This window comes from Homo sapiens, chromosome 10 (assembly GCF_000001405.40).
Source record: "Homo sapiens chromosome 10, GRCh38.p14 Primary Assembly".
Classification (NCBI taxonomy): Eukaryota; Metazoa; Chordata; class Mammalia; order Primates; family Hominidae; genus Homo; species Homo sapiens.
In genome coordinates, this window is record NC_000010.11 from 7,092,376 (window position 1) to 7,116,747 (window position 24,372).

The 24,372-nt window shown below is 43.2% G+C and overlaps 2 long non-coding RNA genes across 2 annotated transcripts in view; one reads left to right on the forward strand and one right to left on the reverse strand.

Annotated features, from left to right (window-relative positions):
- Positions 1-24,372, reverse strand: part of LOC105376387 (uncharacterized) — a 294,200-nt gene that overhangs the window by 268,106 nt on the left and 1,722 nt on the right. The gene's annotated exons all lie outside the window — the stretch shown is intronic.
- On the forward strand, positions 3,917-5,301 carry LINC02665 (long intergenic non-protein coding RNA 2665). The gene is made up of 3 exons (NR_184104.1): positions 3,917-4,107; positions 4,751-4,978; positions 5,067-5,301. It is a non-coding gene; the product is annotated as a long intergenic non-protein coding RNA 2665 (long non-coding RNA).

Consider the following 24,372-nt stretch of genomic DNA (forward strand, 5'->3'; position numbering starts at 1 on the left):
CAGAACCAACAGCTTATTGCATGTTACAGTTTGTGAAAATTCTTTCAACATCTTGTTTTCAAAGGTCCCTTATAATGAATATAGAAGGTATGTAGAGTAAGGGTCATTTTACAGGGCAAGAAACTGTGGCACAGGGCAATTGGTAAAAAAAAAAAAAAAAAAAAAAATCCTAAAGCTGGTAAAGGGTGGATTTAAGACTCAAATCCAGACCTTCTCTCTCTCTGTCTCTCCCTACCTTGTCTTTTTAGTATTTTCCCTACTTTAGACCTTATACACACAGGCACTTTTCCTGTACCCAAACTACCTAACCAAAGAAGCAAGGTTTCAGCTGGTCATTTCTTGAATGATCACAGAACAGGCCCAAATGGTATGCAGGGCTTTGATTCAAGTGGTCCCGAACTCAGCTGGGAGAAGTGTTCTCATCACGGATGACACAGAGTATAGAGCTGAGAGCGCAGGCCTGAACACGTCCTGTTCAACCCTCAAGATCTGTGTAGCATGAACGCATCAGGGGAAACAACACACACTGGGGCCTGTGGGGAGTGGGGGGAGGGAGAGCATCAGGAAGAAGAGCTGATGGATGCGGCGCTTAATAACTGGGTGATGGGTTGATCTGTGCAGCTAACCACCATGGCACACATTTACCTATATAACAAACCTGCACATCCTGTACATGTACCCAGGAACTTAAAATAAAATTTAAAGAAACAAATATAAAATAAAATAAAATGGTCTGTGTAGCATAGGCTTGGTGAGCCTTGCATTTGCAGGGTAGCTGAAATGGGTCAGGGTCCTCAAGTTTACTCTTGGGGAAACTGAGCAGGGGCACACTGCGAAAACATACCAGCTTTTTTTTTGTTTATGTCCCAGGTGTATGACTCAAACTGTTAGATGCTACCTAACAGAATCTAATAGCGTCTATTAATTGCACCAAGCTGCCCTACCTTGCTAAGATGGAGCTGGAACATGGGATCTTTCTGAAGTATCTATACAGTATCACATGCCAGTCAGATGCCTTATTCACACTGGCCTTTAATTTTCTCATCTTGATTTTTCACGTCTCAGTGTCTGCCCTGTAATCTATGCCATCTACTCGTGGTATCTACCTCTGAGCTTTGTGGCTGCTTGCCCCTCAGTACTGCACCAATCTCCATGTAATGATTTCAAAGATGCAATGTAAAAATGCAAAATAAGCTTATTTCTCCTCCCTTGAGAATGTGAACTCAGCCCTCTGTTCCTTTGCTTTTGCTATCTGTTATTTCCCCGAGAATGGCCACATTCTCTTGCTCTCCTTTTCTCCCATCTCCGTAACTGCCCCAGCCTCACTGAGAGCCTCCTTCCCTAAGACCCTATGGGCATCGCTGAGCTGGTAGAAGTGCAGTGTGGTGCCCTTGGAGCACACCAGCCTTGGAGTCCTAGGATCTGAGTTTGGATTCTGTCTCAGTCACTGTTAAACTGTGTGACCACTGGCAGGCTGTGGGCCCCTGCTTTCTTTTGGATGTTTGTCACCAAACCTCATGTTGAAATTTCATCCTCAAGGTTGGAGGCGGGGCCTAATGGGAGGTGATTGGGTCATAGAGGTGGATCCCTCATGAATAGATGAATGCCCTCCCTTAGGGGTGATTGAGTTCTTGCTCTATTCATTCCTGCATGAACTGGTTGTTAAAAGAGCCTGGCCATTCCCCACCACTCTTGCTTCCTCTCTCACCACATGATTTTTGCACACACAGGCTCCCCTTCGCCTTCCACGATGAGTGGGAGATTCCTGAGACCCTCATCAGAAGCAAATGTTGACACCATGCTTCTTGTCTGCAGAAACACGAACCAATCTTCTTTGCTTTATAAATTATCCGGCCTCAGGTATTCCTTTATAACAACACAAATGGACTAAGACAAGCCCTTTAGGCCTCAGTTTCCACATCTCATGCATAATAACAAGGCTTATTTATGTTTTGGGAGTAGTAGAAATAATGTATGCAAAAGGACCACTGAACAAGTAGTGACAGTCATTACTAATTAGTAACTGTGTTAAATGATACATTAGTTATTTCCATCCTCTTGCAACCTCCCTGAGAGAATGCAGGTTCTAGTGGATGGGGTCCCTGTCTTGTGCTTCAAGCAAGATGTGCTTCAGCAAACAACTCCCTGGCTGCAATTTCCAAGATCTGGACTGTTTTCCCAAAATTATTCTTCCTGTCTTTTTTTAGGTATCTATTTTTTTTCTTACTTGAAATGCTATTTGGCATTCTACAAAGCATTCAAATGAGGAATTCTGAGTGCATCTCCAAGATCCACCTGCACTTCCTCATTCAGCCCCTTTATAACTAATGTTTGTGCCAGAGGCCATCTCGAGTCTGTGGCCATAGGTGTGTGGCATTTAGTGACCTTCGAGAAGCTCAAAACAATGATCTAAGGACAGACAAGACGTTAAAAGACAACCCACGGAATGGGAGAAAATATTTGCAAATCATATATCTGATAAGCGTCCAGTCTCCAGAATGTATAAAGAACAACTCAGCGATAAAGACAAGCAATCCAATTGTAAACTGGGCAAAGGATTTAAATAAACATTTCCCCAAAGAAGATGTACAGATTCCAATGAGCACGTGAAAAGATTCTCAGCATCATTAGTCACTAGGGAAATGGAAATCAAAATCACAGTAAGTTTCCATTTCACATCACTAGGATGGCTATAATTTCAAAAGAAAAAAGCAAAATTAACAAGTGATGGCAAGAAAGTTATCAGAATCCCCCTACATCGCTGGTATGAATATAAAATAGTGCAATCATTGTGAGAAAAATCTTGGCAGTTTCTCAAAATGCTAAACATAGATTTACCATATGACCCAGCAATTCTACTCCTAGGTATACACCCAAGAGAACTGAAAACACATCTTCACACAAGAACTTGTACAGGGATGTCCACAGCAGCATTATTCATCATAGGCAAAAAGTAGAAACAACCAGATGTCCACTGACTGCTGAATGAATAAATAAAATGTAGTGTATACATACAATGGAATAAAAAGAAACAAAGTACTCCTCCATGCTGAAACACAGATGAATCTTGAAAAAATTATTCTAAGTGAAAGCAGCCAGACATAAAAGACCATGTATTATATGATTACATTTATATAAAGTGGCAAGAATAGGCAAATCCATAGAAGTACATTAGTGGTGGCCAGAGACTAGGAGGAGGAAGTTTGGGAGTGACTGCCAATGGTGTGGAGTTTCTTTGGGGAAGGCTAGAAATCTTCAAGAATGAGAGTGTGAGGGTTGCGCAGCATTGTGAGTACACTAAAACCACCTTGATGCACACTTACAAATGTGAAAAGTATAAAACCATACACTGCGGATTTTATGTTATATAAATTTTATATCAATAAAAGTAACGTGGCAGGGCACCGTGGCTCATGCCTGTAATCCCAGCACTTTGGGAGACCAAGACAGGTGGATCACTTGGGGTCAGGAGTTCGAGACCAGCCTGCCCAACATGGTGAAACCGTGTCTCTACTAAAAATACAAAAATTAGCTGGGCGTGGTGGTGCACACCTGTAGTCCCAGCTACTGGGGTGGCTGAGGCAGGAGAATCGCTTGAACTCGAGAGGCAGAAGATCGCACCATTGCACTCCAGCCTGGGTGACAGAGCAAGACTCCATCTCAACAAAAAGAAAAAAAGGTAATTACAAAATACAAACAAAGAAGGCTTAGCCCCATTATCACCAAGTACCCTCTAAACTAACCATCTTAACTAACTTAACCAGAACAGAACCGAGCTCTATGGAGACAGCTGTTCAGAAAAGGCAGAATTTTAGCCTCTTTCCTTTGTGAAGTAAGTATGAGTTCACAGGAGGCTCTTCCCACGTATTGACTACCTTTCTCCAGTGCTGTACCACGTACGGATGGACAATAAAAATGCCACTAACCTCTCCTCTATATTTTTTCCAGGGATAATTCTGATACAAAAAAAAAAAAAGCATTGTTGGTAGCATGCATTGGGTGTTCAATAAATGTCACCAGTCAGGAATAAATGTCACCAGTCAAGAATAATCATGAAGGAAAGACAGGAAAGTGGGTGCCTTGAGGAGGCTCTGGAAAAGAGATAAGGTGAGACGTTTGCTTCTTTGTATCTTGTGTTAGTTCCTTTCCAAGATGCAAATCCTCCCCATCATATGCTCGCTAAAAGCCCTGCTCCATGTTAGAAACAGCCCTCAAAGTTTACCTGAGCCCAAGGCCGCATGGGTGGAGTTGGCGCCTGGTTGCCCCGGCCAACTCCGGGGCTTCTCGGAAAGGGGAGAGCCTCCTCACATCCCACATCGCCCAAGGACCTGAGATGGCCCCCTCTAGGGAGGACTGTTCTCCTGGGAGGAAGGAACCGCTTGTCGAGAGGGAAGGAAGTGAGGAGTGAATTTGTCAGGGGAGGGAGCTTGATGACACCGTATTCCAAGAGAAAGCAGTGGCATTAAAGGCACTGGAGGTGTTGCACAGGGAGTTTAAGACTTCTGAGGGCAGCCGTCACCTACCCCACAATTCTGCCTCAGCCTGGCCCTGCGCATCATCTCCTAAGGGGAGGTGGCCTCGGGCTCCAGAAATAAATAGCACGGTCCCGGCACTCTCTACTTTAAACTCTCCACTCCGGCCACGGTGAGCAGCCCCTCACGCCCCACCCGTGACTCTTTCTTCACCTCCGTTCCTGTGTGACCTCAAACAAGTCCTCAGTGTCTTACCCTCGGTTTCTTCTTCTCCCCAGTGGGGCTAATAGCACTGGCCCAGAGGCCATGTAGTGGAGAACTTCCAATCTCCCAGCACACCACCTGGGGGACGGTGCATCCTCCTGGAAAGTGAACCACACACACAGCTCCACTGGAAACAGGAGACTTCCGCCAAACATGAGACAAGGGGCCTGGAATATTTCAGTTGTGTCCTATTAGGTGCTCCGCTAACATTCTGCTTTCTCTTCTGAGCCGTCAATACGCTGGTAAGTATTCACTTACAGCCTATGCTCCCCAACGGACTACAAAATCCAGCAGGTGCCACGGAACTCACGGTCACTGCTCCATTCCCAGCCCCAGCACGGGTGGAAGATGCCCCCTACACATTTCAAGCCGACTAATCACAGGGGAAGAAACACGGCTTGTTTTAACCGCTTTCTACGGGCTTCTTATGCCTTCAGTCTGCGCGTTCCTGCAGAGTCACCTCTGAAGGGGGAACCAGATTATCCAAAGCTTCTGGCTCTCATACCAGGTGGGCTTATGTAAACTGTCTCAGGGTCCTCATTCGTAAATAAAGGACTTAAACTACGTGGTCTCTGAAGTCTTCCTTCAGTTCCCCCATGGGAAGCCACAGGCTAGGTTTTCAAAGTCACTCACGGCTCCTTAATTCATTTGAAGCAATTGCATCCAGCATCAGGGCTGGACTGTGGATGACCGGCAAGACAATAGAGCAGAGATTTAGGAAAGGAAGGATGATTTAGATATTCCCATGGTGGGAAAAATAGTAACTGAGCAAATAAGAAGACTAAAGTTCTCTACTGACAGAGAAAAGATGAAATGGGGGTGATTTCCCACATTTCCAAATAAGAGGTGAGCAGACATGGAGGTCTGCTGCCAGTGCCTCCGGGAGCCCAGCTCCTCCAGCGGGGTTCTCTCCAGATCCTTGCAGACCCCAAACAGAGAGATGATGGGGCCTGCAGACCTTGCCTGGCTGTCAGAAATTTTCCACCCGCTGAAGAGGTGGCTGGCAGTGGTCTACGCTCTGCGTGTGGCCTTCCTAAATTAACGAACATATTCACACTAACACTCACATACATTCACACACACACACTGACATACACACCACTCACACATTCACACATTCATTTAGACACACACACACCCACACTCATATACATTCACACACACACCACTCACACCCAATTCACATAGACACACTCACTCACACTCACAATCACACTCACATACACACCAGACTCACAGTCTCACACTCACATATACACACGACTCACACTCACAGACATACAAACACACTCATACACTCACAATCACACTAGCATACACACACACCACTCACACTCACATAGTCATACTCACAAACACACTCATACACTATCACACTTGCATACAGGTCCAACACTCACACTCATACACTCAAATATATCCACATACACACGCCACTTACACACACACACACCACTCACACTCACATACACAATCACATGCACACCACTCACACACAGTCATACACAGTCACAATCACACTCACATGCTAACATTCATAGTCACACCACTCACACAATCACACATATTCACAACACTCATCCACACTCACACACACTCACACTCAGACACTCTCACACTCTGATGTTTGTAGACTTCTCAAACATGCCGTTGGTTTTTGAAGGGAAATAAGTTGTAGACTTTTTCATTGTTTTGCATTAAAGACCCAGTGCTCTCATCGGCTTATTTAACAGGCACCAGCAGGATTGTGTCTCAAATGGAATGAGGGTAGGTGCTTTAGGCACCCTCCACAAGGGACTGTCTTCTTCATCTCAGCCTTGCCAAACACAGAGGAAATGAAGGGAGGTCCTTGGTTAGTGAGCTGCAAATCGAGACATCGTACCCCGTGCCAGGCTTTGCAAAACCTGTTAGTTCTTAGGGAATGGTGGACAATCACACAATATTCTTCACAAGGACATATGAAATATTTTCTGAAAACCTATTAGTTCATAGGGAATGGTGGACAGTCATACAATATTCTTCACAAGGACATATGAAATGTTTTCTGAAGAACTAAGGATGAAGTTATATGAGCGTAAGTTCCAAGCTAAATGCAAAAAGCAAACGTTTTAAGGTAAAAACATGGCAAAAAGAAATGAGAGGCCAGGCACAGTGGCTCACGCATGGGCACGGTGGCTCACACCTGTAATCCCGGCACTTTGGGAGGCCAAGGCGGGTGGACTGCCTGAGATCAAGAGCTCAAGACCAGCCAGGCCAACATGGTAAAACCCAGTCTCTACTAAAAATACAAAAATTAGCCAGGCGTGATGGCTCATGCCTGTAATCCCAGCTACTCGGGGGGCTGAGGCAGGAAAATCGCTTGAACTAGGAGGCGGAGGTTGCAGTGAGCCAAGATCGCACCATTGCACTACAGCCTAGGCGACAGAGCAAAACTCCATCTCAAATAAATAAGTAAACAAATAAATGAGGATAAAGTAGCATCTAGGTTAGAGAATGAGCATGGACAAAACTGTGATATGACCACATTTTCTCTGAGGCCTCCCCCTCTCTGACTTCACCCTGGTTCTTCTCAATATTTCTGGGTTATCCAGTGCACTTTCCAGCTGGCCTGCACCCTCCACCAGGTCAGGAGCTCACCCTCTCTATTCTTTACTTCCTTTTTTTAACTTCTTGCTAGGTGGTTTGGACACTGGCTCGGGAACTAAACACCATCCATGTATCCCACCCAGCCCAGGAGATGGTCCTTTCCAGGCAATGCCATTGCTGGCACATGAAGGGCAGGAATCATGCTGGTCTCAGCCATCATCCAATCTTTAACACCCAAATATTTCACATATAATCATCACTCAAAGTACATCTTTATTTAAAATTATTTAAAAGTTCTCCAAAACTTGTGAACTTTTTTGGATCTACATCTTTGCCTGCTGGTTTTGGAGTTAAATTTCTATCCTCCAAAATTCCTGAGTCAAGGGTATACACGTATGAAATTTTTAAGCATATTGTTCATACACCTCCAAATTGTTTGTGCTAATTTACACTCCCACCCAGCGTCCATGGAAGCCTCTCTCCTCCTTGCCTAAAAACTCTTCGGGAAACACAGCTGTTCTTTCTTTTGTCAACTCACTCTTTTTGGCTCTCTCTGACCAAAAAAATAAAAGATTCCACAGAGTTTTTCCATCAAAACTTTTGGCAATTACTAACTATTACAATAATTAAAATTCTTCTTGGATAGAAATCTCTCTTTGCTCCTGGGAGAGGATACAAAAAGAGTCAAACAAAATAGTTTTTTTTTTTTTTTTCTCAGAGGGCTCTCTAATGCATTCTCATAAATAATTAGTGGCATCATCTTGTCGGGTTACTCATCTCTTCTATCATGGTGATGCTGGGTGATCCATGGTCCTCATTCGCTACCCATAGCCAGCATGGAAAGCATTAAGAGGAACAGAACACTAGAATGATTATTTATTTCCACAGCTCTCTAAACTGAACAGTGGGGCACAGTGGCTCACACCTGTAATCCCAGCACTTTGGGGCCGAGGCAGGCGGTTCATTTGAGGTCGGGAGTTCAAGACCAGCCTGGCCAACATGCTGAAACCCCATCTCTACTAAAAAATATAAAGATTAGCCAGGCGTGGTGGTGGGTATCAGTAGTCCCAGCTACTCGGGAGGCTGAGGCAGGGAGAATTGCTTGAACCTGGGAGGCAGAGGTTGCAGTGAGCCGAGATCACACCACTGCACTCCAGCCTGGACAACAGAGTAAGATTCCACCTCAAAAACAAACAAACAAATGTTTCATAATTTAAAATGCAAGAGACTGAGAACAAGATGGGCTTTGAAGTAACTGAGTTCACATGAACCAGAGGTTTTATTATAAACCAGACAGTACTCAGCTGACCAGGGAAAGCCAGTTGTTTCAAGCAATGACTATGATGATACTCAATGATGTTTTTTTGTTTGTTTGTTTGTTTTCACTGTTGTTTTTTGAGACAGAGTCTCTCTCTGTTCCCCAGGCTGGAGTGCAGTGATGCCATCTCAGCTCACTGCAAACTCCACCTCCTGGGTTCAAGTGATTCTCCTGCCTCAGCCTCCCGAGTAGCTGGGACTACAGGCGCGTGCCACCACACCTGGCTAATCTTTTGTATTTTTAGTAGAGACGGGGTTTCACCATGTTAGCCAGGATGGTCTCGATCTCCCGACCTCAGGTGATCTGCCTGCCTCGACCTCCCAAGTGCTGGGATTTTGGGCGTGAGCCACCGTGCCTAGCCAATGATGTTTTTATTTCCAATGTATTTTTAGTCACCGATGTTGAGGATGGTGATTTAAAAGACACTCCACATCTCATAAGGAAATGCACACGGAATAATTATTATGAAGCGACATGCAGGTGACATAAACGCACCATTCTGCAGTTCAACTGGAGCTGAATAAAATAACAAATATCGTGACTGATTCTGTCCACACTACTTGATCTTAGGCAGATCCTCTGCAAGGCTGAAGAACTGCTGTGCAAGAGGAAAAGAAAAACCCTGTGCATTTGGGCTTTACTAACAACTAATAACATCTGGACTTTGCAAGCATCCGTGGGACAAACTGAATTAGGCCAGCAATTTATGGATAGTTTATTATGGATAGTTTAGTCTCTGAATTTGGAGACAGTGACTGTTTCAGTGTGAAAGTAGCTATCTTCATTAAATTGTATTTCAGCTTAAAAGTAACATTTTCACTATCATGTCAGATACTCTAGAACACAGTATGCCCAAGCCTACCTTTATCTCCGTAAAGAGAACCTGGGGACTCCTAGAGGGTTCTTGAATGAGCAAGTAATGGCTTGTTGTGTTTGTATGACAGTATGTGATGGGCAGTGCCTTCGACTGTCTCAGCTCTTCTTTGTAAACGTCTCGTGGGTTTTTCCCCCAAGATACAACCAAGTGAGTAAATATTTTTATTAATCTTTGGAAAAAAGATCTGATTCATGCAGCTTATGGCTTCAATCCAAAGTTAGGACAATTCTTGGTGTAAGAGCCTTGGGATGACTGCTGAGTTTTGGGAAGAGTCAGGGAGAAAAGGAACTCTCTAGGAGAGAGTCTGTTTAGCTCTGAGGTTAAAACTCTAATCATTTGCTACTGTGCACTGCAGCCATAAATGAAGAAATGAGAAATATCATCCTAGAGCCAATATGACTTCTGCTGCCAAATATTGGGAAAGGCTTCTTGATGAAGAGGAAATACATCTGTGCACGCTGAAAAGGCAAAACAGTAGCCCATGGGTTGGAGTCACTCCTGGGAAGGCAGCTTTTAGCTCAGTGTGAGTAAGGTTTTCATAGCAATTAGAGCTGGGACAATAAACACTCCATCAAAGAAAAGATTCAATAAAGTTAAGGCTACTGCTTTAATAAATAACCCCTTATATTATTCCGTTCTCACACTGCTAGTAAAGACATACCCGAGACTGGATAATTTATCAAGGAAAGAGGTTTAACTGACTTACAATTCAGCATGGCTGGGGAAGGCCTCAGGAAACTTATAATCAAGGTGCGAGAGGAAGCAAACACATCCTTCACATCGCAGCAGCCAGGAGAAGTGCTAAGCACAGGGTGGAAAGCCTCTTATAAAACCATCAGATCTCGTGAGAACTGACTCACTATCACCAGAACAGCTGGAGGTAACTGCTCTCATGATTCAATTACTTCCACCTGGTTCCACCCTTGACACGTGGGGATTGTTACAATTCAAGATGAGATTTAGGGTGGGGACACAGAGCCCAACCATATCACCCATAAATTTCAACGGCTTCACACAACGGAAGTTTCTCTCTTGCTCACATAATGGCCTGATGCTGGCATTCCTGGTCAGCTCATTCCTTCTTCCAGGTGGTGACTCAGGATCCCAGGCTTTTGCATCTTGCAGCACTGGCCACCCTCTCTGGAGTCCTCTGCTTCTAGCTGGTGGAAAAGAACTAAGTGGAGATTTTCAGGCCCATTCACAGTAATCACTCAGCCTGTGTGCATTTCCTTATGAGCTGCAGAGTGCTTTTTTAGTCATCATCATCATCATCAACAGAGGTGACTAAAAATACCTTGGAAATGCAAGCATCATTGAGCAGCATCATAGTCATTGTTCAAAACAGCTGTCTTTCTCTGGTCAAGTGAGTGCTCTCTGGTTTTTAATAAAACCTCTGGTTAATATGAACTCAGTTACTTCAAAGCCCATTTGTTCCCGGTCTCTTGCATTTTAAATTATGAGGATTTACTGTATGTGCAAATGCTTTGTAGAGATCCTGGCCGTGAGTTCTGTGCATATCCACTAGCAAGAGCTAATCATGTGGCAACATCTGGATCTACAGGATCGGGGCATGTATGAGGTGTAGTCTCAGCTGGGCTACATGAAATCTATGGTCCCTTCCAACTTTGAGAGCTAACTAATTCAACCGACACAGAATGAGCACCTACTTCATGCATGACTCATTGTGTCAAGGAATACAAAAAAATGAAAAATGCACAGAAACTGTCACCTGAAAGCTTACATCTTAGACGGGAAAGCAGGACAAACTCAATGACATTACACAACAAAATATATGAGTTATAAAATGCTACGGGAATTTAGCAGAGAACGAAGTCACCTGAAAAGAATTTAATGGAGTTAATGTCCTCAGCAGGATGGGCTTTGAAGGAAGGGGTAGGATTTCAATGTGTGGAGATGAGGGAAGGTCTAGAAGGCAAATAACTGGCATAGATAAAAGATGATTGGATTCCCAATAATCCAAGGAATTGCTCCAGGAATTGCTGTTAGTACTGACCCTTCATATCTATGGGTCCCACATCCGTGGATTCAACAAACCATGGATCAAAAATACTTGGAAAAAAATTGCATCTGTACTGAACACGTAGACTTTTTTATTGTTATTCCCTAAACAATACCGTATAACGACTATTTACATAGCACTTGCATTGTATTAGGTATTATAAGTAATCTAGAGAAGATTTAAAGTATATGGGAGGGTGTACATAGGTTATATGTCCATACTATGCCATTTTATAGCAGGCACTTGAGCATCTACAGATTTTGATATCCACAGGGGACCTGGAACTCATCCCCCAGATACCAAGGGACCACTGTAGTTTTCTTTAATTTTTATTTCAAGTTTGGGGGTACATGTGCAGGTTTGTTACATAGGTAAACTCGTGTCATGGGGGGTTGTTGTACAGATTATTTTGTCACCCAGCTACTAAGCCCAGTACCCAATAGTTATCTTTTCTGCTCCTCTCCCTCCTCCCACCTTCCCCCATCAAGTAGACCTCAGTGTCTGTTGTTCCCTTCTTTTTGTTCATGAGTTCTCATCATTTAGCTCCCACTTATAAGTGAGAACATGCAGTATTTGGTTTTCTGTTCCTGCATTAGTTTGCTAAGGATACTAGCCTCCAGCTCCATCCACATTCACCCAAAAGACATGATCTTGTTCTTTTTTATGGCTGCATAGTATTCCATGGTGTATATGTACCACATTTTCTTTATCCAATCTGTCATTGATGAGCATTTAGGTTGTTTCCAAGTCTTTGCTATTGTGAATAGTGCTTCAGTGAACATACGTGTGCATGTGTCTATATGGTAGAATGATTTATATTCCTCTGTGTATCTAGGCAGTAGTGGGATTTCTGGTTGAATGGTATTTCTGTTTTCAATTATTTGAGGAATTGCCACACTTCTTTCCACAATGGTTGAACTAATTTACATTCCCACCAACAGTGTATAAGTGTTCGTTTTTCTCCACAACCTCATCAATATCTGTTATTTTTTGACTTTTTAAAATAGCCATTCTGACTACTGTGAGATGGTATCTCATTGTGGTTTTGATTTACATTTCTTTAATGATTTACATTTCTCTAACGAATATCAAATGAATATCAAAGTGTGATATTGAGAATTTTTTCATATGCTTGTTGGCCACATGTGTCTGTTCATGTCTTTTGCCTACTTTTTAATGGGGTTGTTTCTCGTAAATTTTTTTAAATTCCTTTTAGATGCTGGATATTAGACCTTTGTCAGAGACATAGTTTGCAAATATTTTCTCCCATTCTGTAGGTTGTCTGTTTACTCCGTTGATAGCTTCTTTTGCTGTGCTCTTTGTTTTTTTTAAGCCTATCTTAATATATTTTCTTAGTATAAATGAATAAATGCCTTAATCAATATTAGCATAGAGAACACTCAATAAATGGTAGCCACTAGTAGCTTTAGGTGTAGAAGTATTTAAAATTAAGGATTTGCTTGTTGATTTCACATGTACATAATGTAATCATACCTGGGGGCCATTAAGCTCTTTTAAATTCTCTTGATATTCAGGAAAAACACATTTATATACCCATACTAACTCAATTTAGATGTGTTAACAAAAAAAGAAGAAAAGTGAATTTCCCTCCAAGTACTATAAATGGAGCCATTGCTTCCCCTGAATTACTGGGAGAGTCAGCCTGATTCTTGGCCTGGTTGTGTTACTAGAGGCCAGATGCCAGAGTCACAGAATAGGTCACTTGGCCTTGATATACCTTGTTCATTCCCTTGATAAATGGAAATCACAGCCAGCATCACCTACGACAGAATGAGACAATGTCTGTAAGGCATACTCTACTCCGTGCTAGACCCAGCCCAGCCCCATGCCCACAGAAGATGACAAACAAATATTTCAAACCTATCTGAGTTCACTGGTACAGGTTAAATCTGAAAGGAAGCCTCATAGAGATTTTTCTTATTTAGTTCATCTGGTGTCAGTTCAAGGTTCCACACTGTCCTTTATAGATGGATTCGCCCTATAGAGTTGGGGGATCACTGAGCTTGCTCCGCGATTTCTGGTCTTCCCATAATCGCTCAGGGGCTTTAAATCATTAGCTGATCTTAACAATTAAGGATGAGGGAAAAATTTCAAAGCCTCGCAAACACCCACCCAAGAAGAAACCACAGGAAGTTAGAATGAAATGTTCATTTTCAGGCTAACCAGGAATTTGCAGTGCCAGGCAGAGAATTAACAAGCAATCAATCGGCCAGAGTTGGAACACATTATTTGCGAACCAATTTGAATTTGATGAGGCTGGGTGGATAATTTTGAATGAAATTGGACCTGAATATTTCTAGAACTTAAATGTTTCAGCAAATGTGGTTGCTCAGATGTTTATGAAAAAAAATATGGGACATGGGTCTTACTTCCTGTTACAATCCATGACTATCTGAAGTATGCAATAGGCTAACGAGTGAAGGAGAAAAGTGTGAGAAAAGAGAAATAGATTTTTATTTCATAATAACAAAGAGGAAAACGAAGGTTGGTAGACCTATGGTCAAAATTAGGAGACTGAGATAATCACTCACAAAATGTGTGTGAAGCCCTCAGTTAATGCCAGTTTTTAGTAATAGTACTAAGCTCCAGGAAAAAGGGCTCACTTATTTTTCTCCCTACGCATAAAACCACACAGGTAGAAGAAGTGAGCAGAAAGAGCAGAGCCTATTGGAAAAATAAATTAAATTTCAATTATGTATTTTATATATAACAAATGAATGCAAAAATATACCTGCATGTTTATTGCTATACAAACATACAATATATAAAGAATGTAAATGTATAAAACTATAAATATAATCTATACATATATATCTATGTATATTATCTGTTTGATAAATTTAATTTACATATGTATTCTATATGTAAAATATTTATATATCTCTCTGTGTGTGTTTGTATTTTTAAGGAACATAAATGAGTCACAAGAGGAGTTTGAAGCCTAATTTAGCCATTTGTTTGCAAAAATGTTGCATGATCAATGTCAAATATCTTCTAGTAGGGGCCAATGCTACTTTACAAAACCGTAACTCATTCTATCTGAGCTCCCTTTGGATTCCCCGCTGAGAGGACAGAGGCTGGCCCCTAGTGCCTCCTCTCTAGTGATTCCAGTCAAGGATGTGGGATAGTGGGAAGGTCTTCCCCATGCCCCAAAGCGAGGAACAAACGTGGAGAATACATTTATCTGTGTATTGATTTGTAATACATAAGTCTTCTGAAGTTAGAAGAAGACACTAAGTGCAGATTCTTAATGGAATCCCCAGAATAAATTATGAAGGGCATTTCCTGAAAGCAGCACAGATCAGAGTTCATGTAGCTTCCACGTCCATGAATCCTCTCTGTTTGTGTTTGCAGTAGAAAGAGTGGCTTGGGTTTTTCCAAAGCTGCATGATGCTGGTTCACGTTCCCAGCAATGTGAAAGACTAGTGTTAAGGAGGGAGATAAATGGCTCAGGCTTGGGAGGCCTGGTCTCCTTCACTCCCCTAAGATCTCACCCACCACATTTTCCACTTACTCAGGGCAGCTTCAATGTTCCAGGAAATCTCCACCCAGCCAAATACTAAGCCACCGAGTCACATCCCACACACGGCATAAAACAACATGCATACGTTACAAAGAAGTAGGCTGACCATATAAATAACACGAGTGAATAAAAATCCCCCAGCCATCAGGTCTTCTGTGACTGTTAATTTTATGTGTCAGGCTGCCTGGGCCATGGTGACCAGATATGTGGATGTTTCTATGAGGGTGTTTTGGGAGGAGATTAACAGTTACATCAGTGGACTTTGAGTAAAGCAGATCGCCCTCATAATGTAGATGGGCCTCACCCAGTCAGTTGAAGGCCTGAATAGAACACAAAGACGGACCTCCCATGAGCAGCGGGGATCCTGTAGCAGTCAGCTTAGGACTGGGACAGCAACACAGGCTTTTCTCTGGGTTTCTAGTCCGCCAGCCCACCTGGCAGATTTTAAATTTGCCAGTCCCTATAGTCACATGGGCCAATTCCTTAAAATAAGTATTTCCCTTTCTCTTTCTCTCTTTACATATATTTATATGTAACTAGAATGGATGCACAGGCACAAGGAAAAGTTATACAATGATACCTGCTACAACACTGTAAGAGCAAAACCATAAACAATACAAACGTGATTCAATAGGCGATTTGTTAATACATTTGGTTCATCAATAGAATGGATTAATTGCAGCCATTAGAAAGGACAATGGCCATTGATATGGTTTGGCTGTGTCCCCGATGAAATCTCACCTTGAATTGTAATAATCCCCATGTGTCAAGGGCAGGGCCAGGTGGAGAAAATTGAATCATTTGGACAGTTTCTCCCATACTGTTAGTATGTAGTGGTGAATAAGTCTCTTGCGATCTAATGGTTTTATAAACAACAGTTCCCTTCACAAGCTCTCTTGCCTGCTGCCATGTAAGACATGCCTTTGCTCCTCCTTTTCCTTCTGCCATGATTATGAGGCTTCCCCAATCATGTGAAACTGAGTCCATTAAACAAACCTCTTTTTCTTTATCAATTACCCAGTTTTGGGTATGTCTTTATCAGCAGCATGAAAACGAACTGATATGGCCATCTCTATACATGGAAAAGCAGTCGTCATATATCGCTAAGTGAAAAAATTAGGAGTCAGATGCCTCTATATGCATGAAATGTATTTATATGTCATTTTTTGTCTTCAAGTAGGTGAGGTTTGTGATTTTTAAAACGTTTCTCTTTTTGTTTATCTATGCTTTCTAACTTTTTGTTAATAAATACGCATCACACTCATAATAAAATAAGTCAATAAACTTCCTTTATATTAAGTGTTAAATAAAAACAGACAAAATCAGCATGGGTTTAATGGAAACAAGGATCCGGCTAGGCTGGGAACTCCACCTGCCAAGCCTTTACCTGGGACGTGAGGTCGGCAGCTGAGGCAGGTTGGGGCAGGTTGAGGATCCTCACCCTATTTTCATATCTTCTTTCTCTCTCTTCCTATACTTATTCCCTCTTCAGGTGCCATGAGCTCCCCTGTCTCAAGGTTTCCAGTGATTCAGGGAAAAGTACCTTCATTCACACTGAATGGTGTTTGAAGCAACTTGGACAGAGCTGGAGGCCATTATTCTAAGTAAAATAACTCAGGTATGGAAAACCAAATATTGGACGTTCTCACTCATAAGTGGGAGCTAAGCTATGAGGATGCAAAGGCATAAGAATGATATAATGGACTTTGGAGACTCAGAGGGAAAGGCGGGAGGGGGATGAGGGATAAAAGACTACTTATTGGGTGCAATGTATACTGCTCAGGTGACAGGTGCACCAAAATCTCAGAAATCACCACTAAAAAAACTTATCCAGGGCCTGGTGTGGTGTCTCATACCTGAAATCCCAGTGCTTTGGGAGGCTAAGGTGGGGGGATTGCTTGAGGCCAGGAGTTCAAGACCAGCCTGAGCAACATAGCAAGACCCTGTCTCTACTAAAAAATTTTTTTTTAAAAGTAGCCCAGCATAGTGGCGCACACCTGTAGTCCCAGATGCTCAGGAGGCTGAAGTGGTAGGATCACTTGAGCCCAGGAATTACAGGCTGCAATGAGCTATGATTGCACCACTGCACTCCACTCGAGGTGACAGAGTAAGACCCTGTCTCTAAATAATCTCATAATCATAATCATAATCATAATAATAGAATTCATCCATGTAACCAAAAACCACTCATACCCCAAAAACTATTGAAATAAAAAAGAAAAAAGTAACGTAAATGGAAATAAAATAATATAAAAACAAAACAGATATAAAAATAAAGCTATGTGAAATCAAAAAAAAATTACAAAGTAAAACAAGGCATACTTGTTAAACTTATTCTGCAGTAAAGTCATTTCAAAGACAACTAATTGTTTGAATCAGATATAGTGTCAATATACACTTCCTGTGCTATCAAAGTTAAAATAAAGTGAGTGAGATCTTCATCCCCCACACCCCGCTGAAAAAAAAGAATCCCTAGGGCAGAGCAACTGGGGAAAGAGCACCCCACTCTGCAGGCCCCACTGGGATAACCTTCTGTTCCTTAATGTGTTAGGTGGCTCTAGGCTCCATCACTCATTCATTCACTCTATGTGGTGCAGTCCCTCGGGCTGCTGTAACGAAACACCATAACTGAGCAGCTTATAAACAACAGACATCTATTTCTTATGGTAATGGAAGCTGGAAGTTCAAGATCCAGGTGTCAGCAGATTCAGTAATTGGTGAAGACCTGGTTTCTGGTTCATAAACAGCCATCTTCTACCTGTGTCCTCACATGGCAGAAGGGGTAACAGAGTTCTCTGGGGTCTCTTTTATAAGGGCACTAATTCCATTCATGGGGGCTCCATCCTCATGACCCAATTACCACCCAAAGACCTCACCTCCTAATATGATCACCTTAGGAATGAGGAGTTCAACACAGCAATTTGGAGGGAGACACATTCAGACCAGAGTCCAGGAATTTCTGAGAGCACACACAGAACCACATTGGAAAGGGCCACTACGCAGCTACTTGAACATCCAAAGAAATCTCACCTTGATGTCTCAATGGGAACATCAGGTTTTAAGGCATTCATTTCTTTCAGAATCGTTGATCTTTCATCTTTTCATGATACCAGAGGTTATAATTAAATCACAATAAACTTTCTTTACAGGTGAAAGTTTCAATATTTCCACCTCTCAAAATCCAAATTAAGTTTTTCCCAACTTTTCTTTCCTAACAATGAGAAGACCCATTCTTGGCAAGTGATACCATGTGGAATATCAAGGTGTATATATCTTCTTACGGTGCAAATTCCTAAGACCCTCAGTGTTTGGTTGCCCAGGGAAATGCAGCCTTTAAAGAGTTAACTCCTGCCTGTGGCTCTTCCAGAGAATTCTAAAGCATCCTTGACCACGTGCAGTGGCTCACACCTGTAATCCCAGCACTTTGGGAGGCAGATCACTTGAGGTCAGGAGTTCAAGACCAGCCTAGCCAACATGGCAAAACCCCATCTCTACTAAAAATACAAAAATTAGTCAGGCGTGGTAGCAGATGCCTGTAATCACAGCTACTCAGGAGGCTGAGGCAGGAGAATTGCTTGAACCCAGGAGGTGAGGTTGCAGTGAGCCAGGATCGGGCAACAGAGCAAGACTCCGTCCCAAAAAAAAAAAAAAAAAAAAAAAAAAAGAAAAAGAAAAAGAAAAAAGAAAGAAGAAAAAAAGAAATTTTAAAACATCCAGGGAACAAACAGATTCCTCTTACAGGTTAAATCCCAGACTTTCTTTTACCAGGTATTGCGCTTTGTGGTGCGGAGGTAGAACATAAAGTCATCAGGGAGAAAACGCAAAGTCAGCAACCTCCCCTTTCTCCCATTCTAAACTTCATGGCAGCCCCTCCCAATGTAGCATTTTCCTACTTTGTCTCTATCTTTCATTGTCAATACCTGTGCTCAGAGCAAAAACAGATTAATCAGTCATTTATAGCATGATAGGAATAAATGCAAAGTGTCACCTCCATCAGAGCATCTGCCTGCTGTGCTTCATCATGGATGGTGATGAGGAGCCCTTCCTCACTTCTGAAGACCTCACCCCCTGTTCTTCTGGAAGGATGGGAGCCTCACACCACCCTTCTCTCATCTCTGAAGAAGGACCTCAGTTTACATTCAAGAGGTAAGAGAGGAAAAACATGGATTTCAATATAAAAGTTGTGACTAATGGTTTTTGTAATCAGTTTCCCTGATATTAGTCATGGAGTCTGAATCATATTTCCATGGGAATCCAAGTCAGCTGATTCCTGTAGGCTATGTTTTTATTTTATAGCTAGTTGTTATAATAGCATTGCATAAGCAAAAAGGAATAACCAGAGAAGGTGAGTCATGAACGTGAAGAAAAATCCCATTTTACGCTCTAAAACATCAGCAGAAGCTCTGATTCTCCCCTGAGTTTCCCATTTAAAAAAAATGTTCTTTTGCATGTGAAGCCTGATGTGCAGAGAGAGATTACACCGTATACTGAATAACACTTTAAGGAGTATTACGTATTAGCTGAGGGTTGGAACTTGGGAAGGGCAGGCACCATGGCTTCTATGTGCCCCCTTGCCAGCAAGGTGGCAGCACCAGGTGGACTGGAGGAAATGTGGCACTAAGAGGCTTTCCCATTTCAACATGGGAAGCTGAGAAACGCAAAGCCATCATAATCTGTCAGGACCCTAAGAAGCAACCAGGACTCTTCAAGCCTCAGGGAGATTCCGGGGAAATGGTAGTTGGCACTGATATTGTTTGGCTCTGTGTCCCCACCCAAATCTCATCTTAAATTGTAACCCCCACGTGTGGAGGGAGAGGCCTGGTGGGAGGTGATTGGATCATAGGTATGGTTCCCCCATGCTGTTCTCATGAGAATGAGGGAGTTCTCAGGAGATCTAATGGTTTAAAAGTAGCCGTTTCCCCTGAACTCTCTCTCTCCTGATGCCTTGTGAAGAAGGTGCCTGCCTCCCCTTCACCTTCTGCTATGATTTTAAGTTTCCTGAGGCCTCCCCAGCCATGCAGAACTGTGGGTCAATTAAACCTCTATTCCTTATAAATTACCCAGTCACAGGCATTTCTTCATAGCAGTGTGAGAACGGACTAATACAGGCACCACTATCTAAAGAGCAAGAAATGCTTTGGAAACAAGGTCACCTCTCCTATGATACTAGCATATATGGTTGACCCTCATTCTGTGTGTATTGAAATTGAATTTAATTAAGTTGCCCATTTTCAAGAGTTTTCTGGGCTGACTTGGCCACCTATATTTCGAAAGGATGTAGAAAATGAACAAGACCTTGGATGGATTTTTCAGGGTGCAAGGAAATTTCATTCAAGCACTAAATACTATTTTCCACAGAGGCACTTTGAGGCTGCCTTGGTGGGGTGGGAGAGGCTGAGCAGGTAAAGCTCTGGCCATGGTCTCTTTCCTTGGAGCCCACATCCAGCATCAACCAGAAGCTCCCCATGGTTAGACATGCTGGAATTGCAGTACATTTTTTGTTTGAATCAGAACTGCTGAAAGTTTGAAAGCCACCAGCCTATAGTGTCCCTAGATATTTCCTTTACAGTTCTATGCTTATTCATTTTCATGGACTGTTCACCTCCCAGCTTCTCCTGATGCCACTGTAAGGGATGAACATGGGGAAAGAAAGGACAGCAGCAATGGGAGATGTTTTGGTTGAACTGTGTCCTCTTCCCCAAAAAAGTTATGTTGGGGTCATGACCCATTCAAAAGTTGAACTTATTTGGAGATGGAGTCTTTACAGAGGAAATCAGGTTTACATGAGGTCACTCGTGGCCCTAATCCAGTGTGACTGGTGCCCTTATGAAAAGGAGAAACTTGGCTAGGCGCAGTGGCTCACGCCTGTAATCCCAGCACTTAGGGAGGGCTGAGGTGGGTGGATCACGAGGTCAGGAGTTCCAGACCAGCCTGGCCAACATGATGAAACCCCATCTCTACTAAAAATACAAAAATTAGCTGGGCATGGTGGCACATGCCTGTAATCACAGCTACTCAGGAGGCTGAGGCAAGAGAATTGCTTGAACCCGGGAGGCAGAGGTTGTAGTGAGCCGAGATCGTGCCACTGCACTCCAGCCTGCTGACAGAGCTAGACTCTGTCTCAAAAAAAAAAAAAAAAAAAAAAAAAAAAAAAAAAAAAACAGGGGTGTGTGTGGAAATCTGGTCACTGATGCACACACAGGGAGAATGTCATGTGAACAAGAAGGCAGAGAGTGAAGTGATGCGTCTGCAAGCCAAGGACCTTCCAGGATGCTGGCAGCCACCGTGATCTGTTCCTGGAATAGATCCTGGTGGCCGCTGACAATGGTAGCCATGGAAGAGAGACCTGGAATGGATCCTCCCTCAGAGCCTGGAAAAGGAACCACTTTGATCTTAGACTTCTGGCCTCCAGAACTGTGAGACGATGAAGTTCTGTTGTTGAAGCCCCCAGTCCGTGGTACTCCATTACAGCAACCTGAGCAAATTACTACAGGGCCAAAGGCAGGAAAGACATTGGTGACTGTTTATTACAGTGTTATCTCTCGAGCTGGGCCGTGTAGAAAGTGATGCTAACAAAAAAGTGAAGTTTGAGTTTTTCTTTAATATAAAAACAATTCCCCAAGTAGGCTAAGTGAACCTGTCTACCGGGGTCCACCAGGATTGCACAGTGGAGCACACCCACAAACAACAAACAAGGCGGGCATGTTCCCATGAGGTCAAACCCCTGCTGCCCTCACCAGCCCGCTTGGCCTGGACATTGCTGGGCAGTAATGACACATGCTCTGAATGGCCGCTAGGCGAGCACTGATCCCACCAGATTCTCCGGGAGCTCTGGTTTTGACATCAGCACCTGTCTTAGAAGAGTACTGAATTCTTCCTTGCAGAGGAATTTGGAAAGACTCACCTGCTCCTTAGTGGATGGCCTTAAAAAACCTTTGAGGTGGTAACCCTGCCTCCTTCTCCGGCGCTTTGCTCACCTCTTCCGGGTCACATTCCACGTTTTCCCCCGCAGTGCCTGCCACATCTCTCCTACTTCCTGACCTTTTTGCAGGTGGCTTCTCTCTCCTGGAACCCCCTTTCCCCTCCTCCCTGCCACCCATCTTGCTAAGTGCTGCTTGTCCTCTGCATCTCAGGTGTCTCCTCGAGGAAGCTCCTCTGACCATCCAAGATGAGCTAAGGTCTCCCTTCCTTGAGCCCCTGTGGCACCCTGTGCTGGCTGCCCAAAAAAGCACTTGTCTACAGTATGGAAAGTGCCTGTCTGCCCTCTGGACCCCATGCATCTTGGTATAGGACCCATGCCTGGCTCACTGTGGGCCCCCAGTGATCAGTGCTCATGTAGCACAGAGTCACCTCTGGAAGCACTTTATTACATAATTGAATGGGGCAAATGTCATTGTTAGAGTAGGCTATTAAAAGCCTGGTTCGAAGGTAATCAGATCCTCAAATAAGATAATGGCAGGGATGATAGGCAGCAATCGATCCATAGGGAGAGATGTTTAGGAAATAGAATTGTCAACGTTTAGCGACAGGACATGTGGGGTGATGGAGAATAAAGACTCAAAGTTTTCTAGATTTCATGATTTGGGTCAGCCCATGGTATAGAAAACAAATGAGTGAGTGAGTGAATGAATGAATAAATGAAGAGATGAATCCTCCCCATAATGCTCCATTCTCTGGTGGCCAGTGGGGAGGTGAGAGTTGCTATTGGCCTAGGAGGTAGATTATCTGGACTCCAGACCTCTCTCTGCCATAGGTGTGTTTTTGAGCTATGGGCAAGTCGTTGATAATATCTGAGCTCAGTTTCTTTATTTGGAAAATGCAAGGGTTGGGTGAGTTATTGCCTGAGGTTCCTTTGAGCCCCATCATCCTCTCTCTTTCTCCCCTGCTTGCGGAGTGATTTGGGTTCTTATTTAACTTAAGTGCAATGGACATAGCTCTTCTCAAAGGGAACTTGGGAATCTTCTAGGATACAAGCATTTTCCAGCAGAATTGGGGCATCCCTAGATGCAGAATGTGATATCCATTTTTGCAATTAGATACTTTGGGAAACTTGGCTCTGAGGGCAGAGCTGATCTAAAACCCAGCACTCAGCAACATCAATTGCCACCTTGGGCTTACAAAGAAGAGAATCTGCAACTAGTAACAGTAATTTTAAATAACCACTCTGAATAGATTTGTGTACACATCTGCTTTTCCTGAAGGGACCTGAGATGTGTCCTCAGAGAATGACACCAGCACTTAGCCAGCACCACTCACTCCGAAGAACGTCACAGCAGCAACGGATGGTGGAAGAAAAGTCTGCCGCGGGTTTGCAGTGTCTTTTTCAGACCATCCCACAGAAACTTCTGCTCCTAAGTCCTAGCAGGGGAGCATGTGTTTGCAAGGTCCATCATCCTTTTTTCTCTTATAAGAAGGCTGAATTGAAACCTGCACAGCAGTGGGACACAATGGGTCATGTCTGTACTCCCAGCAATTTGTGGGGCTGAGGATGCAGGATCTCTTGAGCCCAGGAGTTCGAGATCAGCCTGGGCAACATAGCAAGACTCTGTCTCTATGAAAATGTTTTTAAAAATTAGCTGGGGATGGTGGCACACGCCTGTGGTCCCAGTTACTTGGAACGCTGAGGCAGGAGGATTACTTGAGCCCAGGAGACCAGCCTGTCTCTACAAAAAATGAAAAAAAAAAAATAGCTGGGCATGTGGTTCATGCCTGTCGTCCCAGCTACTTAGGGGACTTAAGGTGGGAGGGTCACTTATGCCTGAGTTTGAGGCTGTGATTGCATTCACTTTAGTCTGGGTAACAGAGCAAGACCCTAATAAAAGTTTTTTTTTTTTTTTTTTTTTTTAAAGAAAGGAACCTGCACAGTGAGGTGCTCCATCACAGCCACACAACTCTGTCAACACAAACCAGCCTACTTAAGTCTCTTATTCTCCATATGTCAGACCCAGCATGGAAAGACACCCCTAGATAGGGGGAAATGGAACCAAACAAGGAGCCACACAGATGGGCAAGAGACTGCAGGGCTGCAAGGCAAGGCCTTTGCCACATTGACCAGATGGTAGTTTCCAGGAGGAGAAAGATCTGATTTGAAGACAAGAAGGAGAAAATGACCTCTTAAATTTGGGAATTGAAGACAATAAAAGAGATGTTAAATTATCTGCATTCTTGTAGAAATACAGTTCAGTGAAACAGTTAAGATCAAGAGCTGTGCCAACTATGGTGGCTCACACCTATAATCCCAGCAACTCGGGAGGCCGAGGTAGATTTGCTTAAGTCTAGGAGTTCAAGCCT